This window comes from Homo sapiens, unplaced genomic scaffold (assembly GCF_000001405.40).
Source record: "Homo sapiens unplaced genomic scaffold, GRCh38.p14 Primary Assembly HSCHRUN_RANDOM_CTG21".
NCBI classification, from domain to species: Eukaryota; Metazoa; Chordata; class Mammalia; order Primates; family Hominidae; genus Homo; species Homo sapiens.
Genome location: NT_187499.1, coordinates 141,484 through 160,730, shown reverse-complemented (window position 1 = coordinate 160,730; position 19,247 = coordinate 141,484). Strand labels below are relative to the sequence as shown.

Sequence of the window (19,247 nt, the reverse complement as noted above, 5' to 3'; positions counted from 1 at the left end):
CTATTTGCCTTGTGGCATTGCTGTGAACTTAAAGAAGGCACCGATTGTACACACAGCAGTGCGCAGACCGTGGAAGGCTGGGCTCCGACCAACTCTAAGGACAATCACCATCGGATGCCCCACGATCCTACTCTCAGGATGCCCATATGCCATATGCCATGTGAGTGTCACTCAGTGAACACATATTTGTTGATTATAAATTACTCCCATGCTGTTTTCTTTGTTTTACATGTTCACAAATCTGTAAAAACAAAGTTACAATTATGAAATTAAAAGTTAACTAAAGGAGGAGATTTTCATTATCTCTGAAATGTAACCCCCCAAATCCAGATTATAAAGCAAGGAAATGTCTTATGGCCCAACACTTGCCATCAATACTTTTTTTATGTTAGTGGGCAGGGGAGGGTAGTGAAAATGAAGGAATCAGAGCTCCGATGGGTGCACATTGTCTTCCCTACAAATCCATTGCTTGTCCAGCCTTCCTTCCTCATTGGGGCTGCTCTATCCTTTTCCACACATTTGAACTGCTCCCCTGTAGGCCTTTCTCATTTGCTTTACTTCCTAGTCTGAATTCCATGGGACCCACATTTAAGGAGAGGGGAACAACTCTGGGACTGGAGGAAGTTCACCTTATGAGTTATACCTGCCTCCTTCCTCTACAGTGAACGGTCTCTGGTGTCCCTGGGTGTTCAGTTTCTTTCCACTCATGTGTTACTGACTGTTCAGGTGGCAAATGGCCCATGACCTTTATGGGATTAAAAAGAAAAAAAATAAAAAGCTGTGTTTCTTTTTTTTTAACTTTTATTTTAGGTTAGGGGGTACACGGGAGGGTTTGTTATACAGTTAAATATGTGTCACAGGGGTTTGTTGTACCTGTTATTTCATCATCCAGGTATTAGGCCCAGTATCCAATAGTTATCTTTTCTGCTCCTCTCCCTCCTCCCACCCTCCCCCCATCAAGTAGACCCCAGTGTCTTTTGTTTCCTTCTTTGTGTTCACAAGTTCTTATCATTTAGCTCCCACTTATAAGTTAGAACATGCTGTATTTGGTTTTCTATTCCTGCGTTAGTTTGCTAAGGATAATACCCATCAGCTTCATCCATACTAATGCAAAAGACATAATCTCATTCTTTTTTATGGCTGCATATTATTCCATGGTGTATATGTAGCACATTTTCTTTATCCAATCCGTGACTGATGAGTATTTGGGTTGATTCTATGTCTTTGCTATTGTGAATAGTGCTGCAATGAACATTTGCATGCATGTAACTTCATGGTAGAATGATTTATATTCATCTGGGTATATAACCAGTAATGGGATTGCTAGGTCAAATGTTGTAGTTCTGCTTTTAGCTCTTTGAGGAATCACCATACTGCTTTCCACCACAGTTGAATTAACTTACACTCCCACCAATGGTGTATACATGTTCACTTTTCCCTGCAACCTTGCCAACTTCTGTTAGTTTTTTACTTTTTAGTAATAGCCATTCTGACTGGTGTGAGATGGTGCCTCACTGTGGTTTTGATGAGCATTTCTCTAGTGATCAGTGATCTAGAGCTTTTTTCCATATGCTTGTTTGCCACGTTTGCCTTTTTTTTTTTTTTTTTTTTTTTTTCTTAGCCCGAGTCTCGCTCTGTCACCCAGGCCAGAGTGCAGTGGTGTGATCTCAGCTAACTGCAAGCTCTGCCTCCTTGGTTCACGCCATTCTCCTGCCTCAGCCTCCCAAGTAGCTGGGACTACAGGTGCCTGCCACCACACCCGGCTAATTTTTTGTATTTTTAGTAGAGACGGGGTTTCACCATGTTAGTCAAGATGGTCTCAATCTCCTGACGTTGTGATCCACCCTCCTTGGCCTCCCAAAATGCAGGAATTACAGGCGTGAGCCACCACGCCCAGCACACATGTTTGTCTCCTTTGGAGAAGTGTCTCTTTATGTCCTTGGCCCACTTATTAATGGGGTTGTTTTTCTCTTGTAAATTTGTTTAAGTTCCTTATAGATGCTGGATATTAGACCTTTGTCAGATGCATAGTTTGTAAATACTTTCTCCCAATCTGCAAGTTGCCTGTTTACTTTGTTGATAGTTTCTTTTGCTGTGTAGAAGCTCTTTAGTTTAACTAGATCCCACTTGTCAATTTTTGCTTTCATTGCTATTGCTTTTGTTGTCTTTGTCATGAAATCTTTGCCTGTTCTTATGTCCAGGATGGTATTGCCTAGGTTGTCTTCCAGGGTTTTTATATTTTTGGGTTTTACACTTAAGTCTTTAATCCATCCTGAGTTCATTTTTGTGTATGGTGTAAGAAAGGGGCCCAGCTCAATCTTCAGCATGTGGCTAGCCAGTTATCCCAGCACCATTTATTGAACGGAGTCTTTTCCCCATTGCTTGTTTGTCAGAAAAGCTATTCCTAAGGCTTTGCCCAACATACCTGTAACTTTTGACCATATCTTTCCCCTGGTCAATAGGCTCCAGGAAATGGGACAGGATGCTTGGAAATAAAGAGCTAACCCTGAGACAATGCAGGTGAACACAGACTAGCTGCTGCATAATAAGTAAACAAAATATGTGTCTTTCATTCAATATTAAACAATGATAGACTGAGTATTTAAGCATGTTACCATTACAGGTATGCAAGTGCCTAACTATGACTTAAATTGTAGAGCCTCAGATTTTAGATCTGGAAGAGCCATGGGTTTTAATCCATGCTGGGAGAGGCTCAAGCTTACTCTGGAGAAACACATAGTTTGGGGAGGCTGGAGACCGAGGGGTGGGCTCCCATTCCCCAGGTCCTTCAATGAGTCTGATCTATTTTATAAATCAGTTATTGGAAAACGATTCAAACAACTCAGCCCAATTCCCTATTATTTGGTCTAGGCCATCAGCCCTCAGGCTTCTTGCCACTGCAGCTGTGGGCTCCCACTCTCCACCTGCTCTCCTGCTCAGGTTGGGGCAGCCAAAGACCTTCTCTTCCTGGGGAGAGAGGTTAGGGAGGGACCATTTTTTGATTATTTGAGGGTGTGGTTCAGTTGTAAACAGTGTAAATTTTAGAATTTGTGTTATTGTGATGGCAATGACCAACTGCAAAATATTTCCCATTTGCCTTGTAATAACAAGAGCATGTACTTTACGCAATTGAAGTTTTTGGACCCTACTTATTTACTTTACTTTATTAAGAATAGTAACATTTGAGCAGAGAAGAGTTCTAATTTTGCATCAGAGTCAAAAGTGAAAATGAAAGGAACTGACCCATGAAGGAACAGGTGTGAGCTATTTACTTCATTCCTGCCCATCCTGGTTGATGTTGAGCTCTTGCCCTGCATCCCACTTTCAAATGTGGTGGATGCCTCACCTAGGAAAGGCCCTCACCACGCTGGCTTGCTCTGCTCACTAACTGTACTTACTTCTCTTAATCCCCTATGAACACTCTTTTCTAGGTTGGGTGTGTTTTCCGTAATAAAAAGGTATTGTTGCACCACTTATTCAGGGCTTTTTGGATGCCATGCTAAGCATTTCATAGTCATGAGTTCATTGTATAAACTACCCTTTATAACACTCCTATGAATTCATATTCCCATATGAATTGGTCTGAGGAAGTGGCATGCTGGAGAGATTAAGTAATTGAATGACAGCTTACAGTTAATTACTGAGGGGATTTGGGTTTGGACATAGATCTGTGATTCAAACACTCATGTCTATAACCACAAGTGCTGCCACATCATTTGCATCAGGATTAAGAATCCCTGCTGGCAGGCCTGGGAAGACGCATTGTAACCAGATAAGAGGTAATTACCACATTTACTGAGTGGTGAGAACCACTGTACTGCCTTTCAGAGAATGCCAGGCGCCCCTGTGTTTGTCTCAGTGTCTCCAGCTTGAATTGCTTCACCCCTGGCTCTCAGCAATGCTGCTCCTCTCTCCTGCATGGATCACCTGTTCCTGGAATTCATTCTCCCATTTCTTAGGTTGCATCCCTGTCTTGTGCCAGTTTTCAAAGTGAATGCTTCCTGTTTTTGCCCATTCAGCATGATATTGGCTGTGGGTTTTTCATAAATAGCTCTTATTATTTTGAGATACATCCCATCAATACCTAGTTTATTGAGAGTTTTTAGCATGAAGGCTGTTGAATTTTGTCGAAGGCCTTTTCTGCATCTATTGAGATAATCATGTGGTTTTTGTCTTTGGTTCTGTTTGTATGATGGATTACATTTATTGATTTGCATATGTTGAACCAGCCTTGCATCCCAGGGATGAAGCCAACTTGATCATGGTAGATAAGTTTTTTGATGTGCTGCTGGATTTGGTTTGCCAGCATTTTATTGAGGATTTTTGCATCGATGTTCATCAGGGATATTGGTCTAAAATTCTCTTTTTTTTTGTTGTGCCTCTGCCAGGCTTTGGTATCAGGATAATGCTGGCCTCATAAAATTAGTTAGGGAGGATTCCCTCTTTTTCTATTGATTGGCATAGTTTCAGAAGCGATGGCACCAGTTCCTCTTTGTACCTCCGGTAGAATTCAGCTGTGAATCCATCAGGTCCTGTACTTTTTTTGGTTGGGAGGATATTAATTATTGCCTCAATTTCAGAGTCTGTTATTGGTCTTTTCAGGGATTCAACTTCTTCCTGGTTTAGTCTTGGGAGGGTGTATGTGTCCAGGAATTTATCCATTTCTTCTAGATTTTCTACTTTATTTGTGTAGAGGTGTTTATAGTATTCTCTGATGGTAGTTTGTATTTCCGTGGGATGGGTGGTGATATCCCTTTTATCATTTTTTATTGCATCTATTTGATTCTTCTCTCTTTTCTTCTATATTAGTCTTGCTAGCAGTCTATCAATTATGTTGATCTTTTCAAAAAACCAGCTCCTGGATTCATTGCTTTTTTGAAGGGTTTTTTGTGTCTCTATCTCCTTCAGTTCTGCTCTGATCTTATTTCTTGCCTTCTGCTAGCTTTTGAATGTTTGCTTTTGCTTCTCCAGTTCTTTTAATTGTGATGTTAGGGTGTAATTTTAGATATTTCCTGCTTTCTCTTGTGGGCATTTAGTGCCATAAATTTCCCTCTACACACTGCTTTAAATGTGTCCCAGAGATTCTGGTATGTTGTGTCTTGGTTCTCACTGGTTTCAAAGAACATCTTTATTTCTGCCTTCATTCTGTTATGTACCCAGTAGTCATTCAGGAGCAGGTTGCTCTGTTTCCATGTAGTTGAGTGGTTTTGAGTGAGTTTCTTAATCCTGAGTTATAGTTTGATTGCACTGTGGTCTGAGAGATAGTTTGTTACAATTTCTGTTCTTTTACATTTGCTGAGAAGTGCTTTACTTCCAAATATGTGGTCAATTTTGGAATAAGTGCGATGTGGTGCTGAGAAGAATGTATATTCTGTTGATTTGGGGTAGAGAGTTCTGTAGATATCTATTAGGGCCGCTTGGTGCAGAGCTGAGTTCAATTCCTGGATATCCTTGTTAACTTTCTGTTTCGTTGATCTGTCTAATGTTGATAGTGAGGTGTTAAAGTCTCCCGTTATTTTTGTGTGGGAGTCTAAGTCTCTTTGTAGGTCTCTAAGGACTTGCTTTATGAATCTGGGTGTTCCTGTATTGGGTGCATATATATTTAGGATAGTTAGCTCTTCTTGTGGAATTGATCCCTTTACCATTATGTAATGGCTTTCTTTGTCTCTTCTGATCTTTGTTGGTTTAAAGTCTGTTTTATCACAGACTAGGATTATAACCCCTGCTTTTTTTGCTTTCCATTTGCTTGACAGATCTTCCTCCACCCCTTTATTTTGAGCCTATGTGTGTCTCTGCACATGAGATGGGTCTCCTGAATACAGCACACTGATGGGTCTTGACTCTTTATCCAATTTGCCAGTCTGTGTCTTTTAATTGGAGCATTTATCCCATTTACATTTAAGGTTAATATTGTTATGTGTGAATTTGATCCTGTCATTATGATGTTAGCTGGTTATTTTGCTCATCAGTTGATGCAGTTTCTTCCTCGCATCAATGGTCTTTACAATTTGGCATGTTTTTGCAGTGGCTAGTACCGGTTGTTCCTTTCCATGTTTAGTGCTTCCTTCAGAAGCTCTTGTAAGGCAGGCCTGGCCTGGTGGTGACAAAATCTCTCAGCATTTGCTTGTCTGTAAAGGATTTTATTTCTCCTTCACTTATGAAGCTTAGTTTCGCTGGATATGAAATTCTGGGCTGAAAATTATTTTCTTTAAGAATGTTGAATATTGGCCCCCACACTCTTCTGGCATGTAGAGTTTCTGCTGAGAGATCCGCTGTTAGTCTGACAGGCTTTCCTTTGTGGTAACCCAACCTTTCTCTCTGGCTGCCCTTAACATTTTTTCCTTCATTTCAATTTTGGTGAATCTGACAATTATGTGTCTTGGAGTTGCTCTTCTCGAGGAGTATCTTTGTGGCATTCTCTGTATTTCCTGAATTTGAATGTTGGCCTGCCTTGCTAGGTTGGGAAAGTTCTCCTGGATAATATCCTGAAGAGTGTTTTCAAACTCGTTTCCATTCTCCCTGTCACTTTCAGGTACACCAATCAGATGTAGATTTGGTCTTTTCACATAGTCCCATATTTCTTGGAGGATTTGTTGGTTTCTTTTTACTCTTTTTTCTCTAAACTTCTCTTCTCATTTCATTTCATTCATTTGATCTTCAATGACTGATACCCTTTCTTCCACTTGATTGAATTGGCTAAAGAAGCTAGTGCATGCATCATGTAGTTCTCGTGCCGCGGTTTTCAGCTCCATTAGGTCATTTAAGGTCTTCTCTACACTGTTTATTCTAGTTAGCTGTTTGACTAATCTTTTTTCAAGGTTTTTAGCTTCTTTGTGATGGGTTCAAACATCCTCCATTAGCTCGGAGAAGGTTGTTATTACTGATCGTCTGAAGCCTTCTTCTCCCAACTTGTCAAAGTCATTCTCCATTCAGCTTTGTTCTGTTGCTGGTGAGGAGCTGTGTTCCTTTGGAGGAGAAGAGATGCTCTGATTTTTAGAATTTTCAGCTTTTCTGCTCTGGTTTCTCCCCATCTTTGTGGTTTTTACCTACCTTTGGTCTTTGATGATGGTGATGTACAGATGGGGTTTTGGTGTGGATGTGAAGGGGTCCAGCCCCTCCACACCTGTGGGTGTTTCTCATCAGGTGGGATGAGAGACTGAGAAAATAAATAAGAGACACAGACAAAGTATAGAGAAAGAACAGTGGGCCCAGGGGACCAGCACTCAGCATACAGAGGACCCGCGCTGGCCCTGGTCTCTGAGTTCCCTCAGTATTTATTGATCACTATCTCTACCATCTCGGAGAGGAGGATGTGGCCGGACAATAGGGTAATAGTGGGGAGAGGGTCAGCAGGAAAACATGTGAACAAAGATCGCTGTGTCATAAATAAGTTTAAGGAAAGGTGCTGTGCTTTGATGTGCACGTACACAAACATCTCAGTTCATTAAAGAGCAGTATTGCCGCCAGCATGTCTCACCTCCAGCCCTAAGGTGGTTTTCTCCTATCTCAGTAAACAGAACATACAATCAGGTTTTACACCAAGACATTCCATTACCAGGGACGAGCAGGAGACAGATGCCTTCCTCTTATCTCAACTGCAAAGAGGCCTTCCTCTTTCACTAATCCTCCTCAGCACAGACCATTTATGGGTGTTGGGCTAGGGGATGGTCAGGTCTTTCCGTTCCCACAAGGCCATCTCTCAGGCTATTACATGGGGAGAAACCTTGGACAATACCTGGCTTTCCTGGGCAGAGGTCCCTGTAGCCTTCCACAGTGCATTGTGTCCCTGGGTACTTGAGATTAGAGAATGGTGATAACTTTTACCAAGCATACTGCCTTCAAGCACTTTTTTAACAAAGCACATCCTGCACAGCCCTAAATCCATTAAACCTTGAGTCAACACAGCACATGTCTCTGCAAACACAGGGTTGGGGCTAGCATTACAGATTAACAGCATCTCAAGGCAGAATAATTTATCTTAGTACAGAACAAAATGGAGTTTCTTATGTCTACTTCTTTCTACATAGACACAGTAACAGTCTGATCTCTCTTTGCTATGGGTTCAAACATCCTCCGTTAGCTTGGAGAAGGTTGTTATTACTGACCGTCTGAAGACTTCTTCTCTCAACTCATCAAAGTCATTCACCATCCAGCTTTGTTCCATTGCTGGTGAGGAGCTGCATTCCTTTGGAGGAGAAGAGGCACTCTGATTTTTAGACTTTTCAGCTTTTCTGCTCTGGTTTCTCCCCATCTTTGTGGTTTTATTTACCTTTGGTCTTTGGTGATGGTGACGTACAGATGGGGTTTTGGTGTGGATGTCCTTTCTGTTTGTTAGTTTTTCTTCTAACGGTCAGGACCCTCAGCTGCAGGTCTGTTGGAGTTTGCTGGAGGTCCACTCCAGACCCTATTTACATGGGTGTCACCAGCGGAGGCTGCAGAACAGCAAATGTTGCTGCCTGAGTGTTCCTCTGGAAACTTTGTCTCAGAGGGGCACCTGGCCATAAGAGGTGTCAGTCAGCCTCTACTGGGAGGTGCCTCCAAGTTAGGCTACTCGGGGGTCAGGGACCCACTTTAGGAGGCAGTCTGTCCACTCTCAGATCTCAAACTCCGTGCTAGGAGAACCACTACTCTCTTCAAAGCTGTCACACAGGGATGTTTAAGTTTGCAGAAGTTTCTGCTGCCTTTTGTTCAGCTATGCCCTTTCCCCAGAGGTGGAGTCCACAGAGGCAGGCAGGCCTCCTTGAGCTGTGGTGGGCTCCACACAGTTCGAGCTTCCTGGCCGCTTTGTTTACCTACTCAAGCCTCAGCAATGACAGACACCACTCCCCCAGCCTTGCTGCTGCCTTGCAGTTCAATCTCAGACTGCTGTGCTAGCAGTGAGCGAGGCTCTGTGGTCATAGGACCCTCCAAGCCATGCACAGGATATAATCTCCTGGTGTGCCATTTGCTAAGACCACTGGAAAAGCACAGTATTAGGGTGGGAGTGTCCCGATTTTCCAGGTACCATCTGTCACAGCTTCCCTTGGCTAGGAAAGGGAATTCCCCAGCCCCTTGTGCTTCCCAGGTGAGGTGATGCCCCACCCTGCTTCAGCTCACACTCTGTGGTCTGCACCCACTGTCTGACAAGCCCCAGTGAGATGAACCCAGTACCTCAGTTGGAAATGCAGAAATCACCTGTCTTCTGCGTCACTCATGCTGGGAGCTGTAGACTGGAGCTGTTCCTATTCAGCCATCTTGGAACCAGAAAACCATTTTTTACTCTTTTAAATGCTTCCTTCAAAGAACAAAGTTGTTTTTGGTGAAATACAATTTTTCCATTTTTTTCTTTAAGTTTCTGAATTACAATTAATTGGAATTTTAATCTACTGGTTACTGTGTTGGACAGCATGGGTCAGAAGAGGAGATGAAAAATAACAAAAAATTAATAAATGGTGATAACAGTTGATAAAAAAGCAAGCATGACATTGATTTAGACAAATGTGGTTGTTGAGAGTGATTGTGGACCACTCTCCATTAGGGTGTTCAGGAAAGGCCTTTTTTAAGTGACCTGTAACTCATATCAGTGAAAAAGAACATGCTATAAAAAGATTCCACAAAGTGAGAGCATTAAGCTCAAAGGTCCTGAGGTAGGTGTGTTTGAGGAGCTGGTGTGTAGCTGCTGTATAAGAAGTCAACCTCCTTATTTTCAGGTACATTTATTATTATTTTAACCCCAAGCAGAATTGCCTAGCTGGGTCCCTCACCTTTACACAATAGTCATAGGATTTGACTGTTATCAAAAAGTAAATCCACTCTCAGAGGCCATAGATTTCCTATTACTGAGGTTCTTCAAAAGAATATGTAATCAATTTATATAGCAATTCCTAAAAATGAGATTCTAAAATATAGTAGCATGCAGATGAAGCATAGCTAATGCTTTAAATTATTCTGTAATAATGCATTCCTGAGGATATCCAAATTTTCACAGAACAGTTTTAATGAAATGGAAGCACATACTGGAATCATTTTAGTTAGGGATGATTTGTATCAGACTAAAACACTCTGACCTTTTGGTTTCACATACTAATTTAAAACTCTTTAGGATGAATGTTGAAATAGGGAAGAGAGACTTACAGGCTCAGAAAGCTAGGGAAGTGAAAATAATTGTAAAACAGCTCTAACATTTTTAAATGTAGCAGCTGCTGTTGTGAACTTCATTCTGCCTTTTCTTTCTAATTCTCTGGGTCCAGATCTGTTTACACCACCTCCTGGTACAACACCCCTAAGAGCTGACTTTGGCAGTTGTGTATCTCTGTTACTGGGGCTTGAATTAAACATCTTAGTGAACAAACTTTAGCTTTACTCTTCAATACTGAAAAAAAAAATGTTATGCCCATGGTTAAACCAGTATCCTACTCAATCCTTCTGTGATGTTACTCACAAAATGAATTGCATAAAATCGGATACCTGAGATTGTTTTGGCTGGGAGGATCCTTGAATTATAAAGATTAAATTAGATTAATCAGGAATGACCTCTGTTACTCCTCATGGGGACATTCAACTTCTGACTGAACTTTTTTTTTCCTTTAAAATTGGGGTAATAGCCCATATCCTCCACATCTCAGAAGGTTCATTTTTATTGGTCCAAAGGAAGTATATGAAAACACTTCCAAAAAAAGTGTAGGTGTTATCAGTATATCATACCATGTGAGAGAAGGTGTAAAGCAACAAAAGGAGTTTTGTTTTGTTTTGTTTTGTTTTGTTTTTGAGATGGAGTTTCACTCTTGTTGCCCAGGCTGGAGTGCAATGGTGCCATCTCAGCTCACTGCAACCTCTGCCTCCCAGGTTCAAGCGATTCTCCTGCTTCAGCCTCCCAAGCAGCTGGGATTACAGGCATGCACCACCATGACCAGCCAATTTTGTGTTGTTAGTAGAGATGGGGTTTCTCCATGTTGGTCAGGTTGGTCTCGAACGCCCGACCTCAGGTGATCCGCCTGCCTCGGCTTCCCAAAGTGCTGGGATTACAGGCGTGAGCCACTGCGCCTGGACAGGAGTTTGGTTTTTAAAAATTTAACACAAGAACATGTATATGCATTTGAATGTACACCAGCCTTTAAAGCAGTCACCATTGGAAGTCATATATACCAAATATCATGAGGGAGAAACTGGAACAAAAAGATGAGTTGGCTATAACTTACGGAAAAGTGAAGAAAATTTCAAAAACCTCTTTATGTGAATGCTCAACTATATTTAAAACACATCAATTCTATGAGGTAGGTATTAACCCTTTCTTACAGAAGAAGGAACTGAACCCCATCAAGGCTACACATAATAAGTGGCAGAGGTGAAATTTGAACCCAGATCTACCAACTCCAAGTTTCTTTTCAATTTGACTATAACTGCATTTTTGATTGCTTGTGACATAAGACATACGAGAGAGTAGATTTGAATTATGTATAAGCAGCTGAGAAAAATGCAATTGAGGGACTTTTCTGAATTGAGAAAAAGATGACATTCTTTGGAGAGCAGACTTTCTACCCTCTCCATCTATCATTGAATGTTATATTCATTGCTGCCACTAGTTAAATATTAGGTAGACATTGACTGGTAGTTACAATCAATGACACAGTCACTGGCCTAATTACTTTGGTGATTTTTATACCATGGTGTCTGACATTCCCAGGTGTTTTGTATAAGGCACACGTATTTCAAGAGCTCTTCAGCCAGGCCTAATCTCTATGCTGATGCCTCAGTCTTGCTTGCTGTTGGAAAGCTTGGCATATTCTCCAGACATAGTCAGAGGACTATATTTCAAAGCTATGTGTGGGTGCACTGAATTCTATGCCTCAGATGATTCCACTGTGGAAAATGATGTGGAAACCCAGTTGAAACGCTCTCACTTCAGTTAACTTTTATATCACAAATCTTAAGTCTGGAAAAGGAAAACAAACTCTTGTGTCCATACTTATTCTTTCTTACGACGTGAAAACAATAGTACATTTTAACATGGCTGAAGAAAAATTAATTTATGTGACTGTTTATAGAATATAATATAGTTTTATAAGATAAAAATTAAGGACAATATTTTACTTTTTTTTTTTTTGAGACAAAGTTTTGTTCTTGTTGCCCAGGCTGGAATGCAATGGCATGATCTCAGCTCACTGCAACCTCTGCCTCCCAGGTTTAAGCAATTCTCCTGCCTCAGCCTCCCAAGTAGCTGGGATTACCAGAGTACACCACCAGGCCCGGCTAATTTTGTACTTCTTTAGTAGAGACAGGGTTTCACCATGTTGGTCAGGCTGGTCTTGAATCCCTGAACTCAAGTGATCCACCCCTGCACACTCGGCCTCCCAAAATGTTGGAATATTTTACTTTTGTATACATCTAAAAAGTAATTATTAATTTTGAAGATTGAGTCTTCTAAGTTAAAATAGACAGTTGTAACTCATAGACAGAACGTTCACAAGTCACAGATACCTAAATAGTGCAGTTTTTGCTTTTAGTTCTGAAATGAAGATTGTCATGAAGCAGCTTATCACTCTCTGTGCCTTCACCATTCTCCTGGGTTATGATTTGGTGAAAAGGCTGCGGGAAAAAATGTGGAACATGTTGAACAGATAGGGAGAAGTGAGAAAGCCGATGGTACCTACAGAAATGAAATCCTTGGCTGGGAGTGGTGGCTCACGTCTGTAATCCCAACACTTTGGGAGGCCGAGGCAGGTGGATCACCTGAGGTCAAGAGTTTGAGACTAGTGTGGCCAACATGGTGAAACCCCTTCTCTACTAAAAATACCAAAAATTAGCCGGGTGTAGTGGCGGACACCTGTAATCCCAGCTACTCAGGAGGCTGAGACAGGAGAATCACTTGAACCTGGGAGGGAGAGGTTGCAGTGAGCTGAGATTGCGCCATTACACTCTGGCCTGGGCAACAAGAGTGAAACTCTGTCTCAAAAAAAAAAAAAAAAGAAATCCTCTCCAATCAACAAATTAGGTGACTGAATTCTTTCACAATTCTTGCATTTCCATTCAGGACTTGGTGGCTATTCTTTTCAAAGTAGAGGCATGTTGTGCCTTATAGTACCACATACAACTTAACAAAAATATGTAGTTATAAAACTTGCCTTCCTGGAGGGTATTTGTAGCTAAAAGTAAACTAGATTTCAACTTAGATTGCCAGTAAAACACATTATAAACTATAAAGTATTACAAAAATAGGTATATAATATTAAGGTTACATGTGTATCTAAATCTTCCCTAAATCTGAATTTGTTTTATTTGACAAAGTCTATAAACAACCCCAGGACAATAAAAATTGTATCCTCAGAAAGTTTGTCCCAATCCCCTTTCATCCTATCCCCAGCTGCATCTGCCTACAAGTCCCCAGCCTGCCCAGGCTCTGTAGCTTCTATACACCTGTTCCATTTCCAACTGTTCCTGTGTTGTATATTTTATAACAAACTGTTATACACAAGTACAGTGTTTGGCTGAGTTCTGTGAGTATTTTAATCAAATTCTCAAACTTGAGAAAGGAGTTATGGGAGTCCTCACTTCTTAGTAGCTCAGAAGTACGTATGGGTACCTGTGGTTTCTGACTGGCATCTGCAGTAAGAGCAGTGTTGTGGGACTAAGCTCTGGACTCTAGGGCCTGTGCTGACTTTGGTGGTGTGAGATTTAAAATGTTAAACAACTAGTTGGTGTTGGAGAACTGCTTTGTATTCCTCAAACTCTACAGATGTAGTGTTAGAAGAAAGACATCGGCCAGGCATGGTGGCTCATGCCTGTAATCCCAACACTTTGGGAGGCTGAGGTGGGCAGACCATGAGGTCAGGAGTTTGAGACCAGCCTGACCAACACGGTGAAACCCCATCTCTACTAAAAATACAAAAATTAGCTGGGCATGTTGGCAGGTGCCTGTAGTCCCAGCTACTCAGGAGGCTGAGGCAGGAGAATCACTTGAACCCAGGAGGCAGAGGTTGCAGTGAGCTGAGATAGTGCCACTGCACTCCAGCCTAAGTGACAGAGTGAGACTCCATCTCAAAAAAGAAGAAGAAGAAGAAGGAGAAGAACAAAGAAGAAGAAGAAGAACAAGAACAAGAACAAGAAGAACAAGAACAAGAAGAACAAGAACAAGAAGAAGAAGAAGAAAGAAAAGAAGAAGAAGAAAGAAGAAGGAAGAGGAAGAGGAAGAAGAACAAGAGGAAGAAGAAGAAGAAGAAGAAGAAGAAGAAGAAGAAGAAGAAGAAGACGACGACGACGACGACAGGGGCCTGAGCTAGAGAAAGACTGGGTGTCTGGAGAAGAAAGGCTCTCTTCTCCTGTATATAGGCTGTCACACTGCACATTCTCCTGTGATTTCAGTTCTTTTCCCCAGGTAAGAGGGGACTAAAAACTTCAGAACAGACCCCCTTAGCCTACAGCTACCATCACATACTTTTCACTCACTTATAAACATACTCCTAGGAGGTATTAATGTGGCCATGCCCCTCCCAGGAGTAAGTACCACCCTTAGGAATCCCATCACAGTGCCTTCTCTTCTAGTTTCTTGCCAAAAACCTACACAAGTGCCTATAGGTCTCCTAGTATAATTCTACCCTCAGACACTGAATCTGCAACAGCAACCTGTTCTCTCCACCACCTGTTAATAATCTCAACTGCCTGCACGGACACAGGAATAATTCTGAGTATAGCCCCTTCTAGACCATTATCTTTAACACAAACCAGTCTGTCCACCTACCTTTTACTGTCCTCCACTCATGGATTTTTGGTGGCTCCTTTCTGTTTTCTACATTTTTCCCCACAGTTTCTCTTTTACGTGTACACAGTGTGTCCAGGACCACCCATTAGATACCTAAATCCAGTGTGTACTGAAATTCAGATGTCTGGAAGTTCAAGATCATGTCCTTAATCCAGCTGTTGCTTTTCTTTAAAAAGCATTTAGCCTACATGTACATTTTTGTTTGCTTTTTTGAAATACACACATATATATAAATTATTTTAACAGCTAAATAAAACTTACCTTTTTTTCTTTTTTTTGACTCAGGATTCTCTTTATCTAGGACCTGAGAACCACCACTTTGTTTTTGCTTTTGATTTGGCAAAGTTTTTTTTTTTTCCATTTTCAGTCTTTTAAAGTAGACACAGATTTGTTTAGAATGATAAAGCTCACTTTAAGATCACACAAAAGTTGAGCACAAAGGATAGGATTCAATTCAGCAATACAGAGTAATGAAGAGTAAAAGATACTAAGTTTCTCCAATAGAAAACTAATCATCCAAGGCGATTATATCAAAGGTGATAATATCTGGAGCCTAAAGTATTTAACACTGCAAAAGCTAGAACTGTTAGTGTATAAACTGAGCAGTGGAATTTTTAGCTGTGCTTTGGTTTCTACTTATTACTTCAGAAAAATTAGCATAGTTTTGTTTAGTCTTTAGTAGACAACATGCATCCATGTAAATTAAACAGTATTTTCTACAATTGTGTGAATATAAGGCCACAATATTTATTTTGAATAAACTTCTTAAATAGTAATTTTAATATTAATGTTATTAATTTGTTTGAAATATAAAGTATTATAACTTTAAGTTTATATAACTTTATTATAAGTATTAATTTGTTTGAATTAAGTTTATATAACTTTAATATAAGCATTAATTTGTTTGAAATATAAAGTATTATAAAATATTGTAATTAAGCTTACAGATAATTTTTAAAATATATACATTATGACTAATATACCAAAATTATTTATATGTACACATTTATATTTAATACCCAAAGAAAATTTACTACCACATTGCTACAGTAGATATTAACCTGACATGTTTATTAATTGATCCTATAGGTATAATTATAGGTCAGCATAATTTTACAGTCTATTCTTTTATTTTACTAAATTAGGAATGCCACTATTCCCGGACAAATAAATGCAGGTGATGTGGCCACCCAAGAATCATAGTAGCTCTTCAGTTAGCTATCTTGCAATCTCTGATATAATTCTACTATGTGAATAGAGTGAATTCCAATTCTTCATCAAAAAGTGCTGGTGGAGGTTGTCAGGTGTGTTCCAGTATAGATTCCCAATCCAACGGCCGGCAGATGGGAGAGCAGCAGAGATGGAAATTCTGCTCAGAATAAGCCCTCTTTCTCATAATACTTGTATTTCTCATGCTGAGAGTAGCTGTGCACTTTTGGTGTTTAGAGAAGAACTTCTTTGGAAGAATATTTTCTGGTCAATTTGACCAATGTTACATGTAATCTGAATTTGTCTTTAAGATTCTTTCAACCTCTTTTCTTCTCTCAATACGGTTTTACTCAGACTGAGAGCTGTCTTTCTCTTCAATGCTTTGGGAATTCAGTGCTTTGTGTCTAAGCCCTATTAGTATCACATGGTGTCTGTGAGTGAGGGGGGCTGTCACCGTGAGAACTCCTGGAGCTGCTCTATCTAGATCCATGCTATGTATCCAGCAATATTCTTTTTGTGTCAGTATTATAAATAGAAACTGAGGCTGAAACATTGCTCCCGTTTCCCTTATTGCAAAAGTGCAATTCTACCCAAGAGCCCTGCAGGCTCTCCTCCTGCAGCTCAGGGACCCCGCTCTGTAATGTAAAATGTGGGGACCCCACTCTCTAATGTAAAATGTGAGCTGCCAGCTGTGGGCTGTGCCTCAGTGGTAGATGGCAGGGTTTGGGAGAGGACACAGGCCACCAGGAGAGGGCAAGCAGAATTGCTGCAGCCCAGGGCTTAGTGAGTAGGGATCCATTGCTTTGAAATATAAATAGCCGGCCGGGCGCGGTGGCTCATGCCTGTAATCCCAGCACTTTGGGAGGCCAAGGCGGGCAGATCACAAGGTCAGGAGATCGAGACCATCCTGGCTAACACAGTGAAATCCCGTCTCTACTAAAAATACAAAAAAATTAGCCAGGTGTGGTGGCGGGCACCTGTAGTCCCAGCTACTAGGGAGGCTGAGTCAGGAGAATGGCGTGAACCCGGGAGGCAGAGCTTGCAGTAAGCCAAGATCGCACCACTGCACTCCAGCCTGGGCGACAGAGCAAGACTCTGTCTCAAAAAAAGAAAAAAAAAGAAATATAAATAGCCAAGATGATAGTACCCTATCTCACTCTTTCTGTACGAGATGGAGGGTGACTTAGAGCCACTTAGAGCCACTTACAGCTGAAGGTAAGGTAGGCTTACCTGCAACAGACACCTGGCTCTAAGTTGCAAAACTGCCTCCTATCATGATGTTGGAAGTTTATTTTTTCTTTGCATATAACCAACCAGCATACACAGAAGGCCTCCCCAATTACCAGGTGAGTTTAAGATGAACTATGTATAACAAATGGTTTGTACAGAAGGGAGGCAGGAGAATGGGGTATGGAGGCAGAGAACTTAAGGCCAATTTGTGCTGACTTCCTAAAAGAAAAAACACCAAGGTCTGGAGGCAGGAAACCTAAGGCCAATTAAGACAAACTTCCAACAGCTAAACCAAAAGAAAAAGTCCCATCTCCCCACACCTGAATAGCAAAGGATCAAAGGCTACTGTCCCTACAACCCTCCCCTTTCTACCACTTCTCAGGTAGAAAGGGAAAGTGCCTTGGAGTGGCTGCAGGCCAAGCACCTGCATTCCTTCATCCGCATAGCGTGCCAATTCTCCTAAGCCTTTAATTAGCCACAGACTAAATCCTTAATCCATATCAGTGGTAGCTGATAGGGACCTCAAAAGGAGTACTAAAAACCCAGAAAACTTCGTAACTGGGTCCTTGAGCCACTTGCTCAAGCCCATACCCACCCTATTTCTTACCTTAATAAATTTCCGCTTTTGATGCTTCCTCCCTCTGTTTTGTTCCTTTGTTACTTTGTGCATTTTGTTCAATTCTTTGTTGTCAAGGACCTGGACAACTCACACTCACGGCCTTCGTTCTGGGAACAGAAGTGCAGTTAGATGTGGATGCATGTGATTGGTGCTTAAACTCACAGTGCCCCACACCAAAGGAGAAAAACACATAGTTACAGCCTGTGTGTCCAAATTAAGTCCAGATTAGGTCCAAGGACAAATAGCAAAACAAGAAGATTGCCTTTAATCTTTTCCCTCCACTTCTAAACTCTGGAGGACAAGGCTGTGAAGAGATCTGAAGACATGGTGTTCTCTGCTTGTGTGGCCCCAACATTCTTTGTTTGCTGTCTGATATTTGAAAGGAAGAGGAACCTTTGATAGAGGAGGCAGTCGGACGCTGGTTAGGCAGATAGAGAGAGGGCCTGGGGAGAGGAAAAACACGTGTGGGACCGCACCTGCACCACATCTGTAGCTAGCAGGAAGAAATGTGGTTAAGAACTTCCTCTTATGCCAGGATGTTGCTCCAAAGGGACTGTCCCAACTTAGCACAGGCGCAATAAATCAACCCAAATGTCCTTAACTTGACCCAGCTCATTATAAGGTCATTAACATGACATTAGCATTGTGGTTTTGGCTCTCCTCGTGTAAGTTTCGCTTAGGCACTCATGGGTAATAACCAAAATGGAGTCACTGTGGCCAATCCCAGGCATGCGCAGATGCAACACCCTTAGTGAGGAACTTTACCCCTCCCATTTGGGCAGAACCCACAGAAGACATACTTGTTCTTGCCACATAAAAGACCCAGACCTCAGCCTCATTTCTGGCAACCTGCTTTCAGGTCCCCTCTTGCTTCTGAGAGCTTTCCTTTTGCTTAATAAATCCTACTCTGCCTTGCTCACTCTCTGGTATCCGTGTGCTTCATTCTTTTTGGTCGTGGCACAAGAGTCCCGACCTGGCTGAACCGAGGAGACCACCACACCTCCACCAAACAGCAACTGGGAAACCGTGGTCTTCACGTGGATACTCTCAGCTTGCAGCCCCTGCTCTCTCTAGGGGCACTGTCCCACCCACCCTTGAGCCTGAGGAGAAAAGTTGGTAGAGAGGCTGGTCCCTTACTTCCAGCAGAAAAGAGGTGTTCAGGCCCTCACTTCCCTAAGGGAAGAGAGCCCTCATGGCTGCGCTCAATGTGGCAGCCACCTGCCATATGTAGCTACTGGGTACCTGGAATGTGACTGGTTTGAAGTAAAATGTGCTGCAAACATAAAATACACAGTGAGTTTAGAAGAATTAGATCAGAAATACATAAAATACACAGTGAGTTTAGAAGAATTAGATCAGAAATATACTTTATTTCTAATTATATATCAATCACATATTAAAACAATATTTTGATACAATGAGTTAAAAATTATTACAAACAACTTCACTCTTTAA

General features: G+C 41.4%; 1 pseudogene; it reads right to left on the bottom strand.

Moving 5' to 3' along the window:
- Window positions 1-15,558: 15,558 nt before the first annotated feature.
- LOC102723528 (BCL2/adenovirus E1B 19 kDa protein-interacting protein 3-like) lies at window positions 15,559-17,984 on the bottom strand (annotated as a pseudogene).
- Window positions 17,985-19,247: the final 1,263 nt, after the last annotated feature.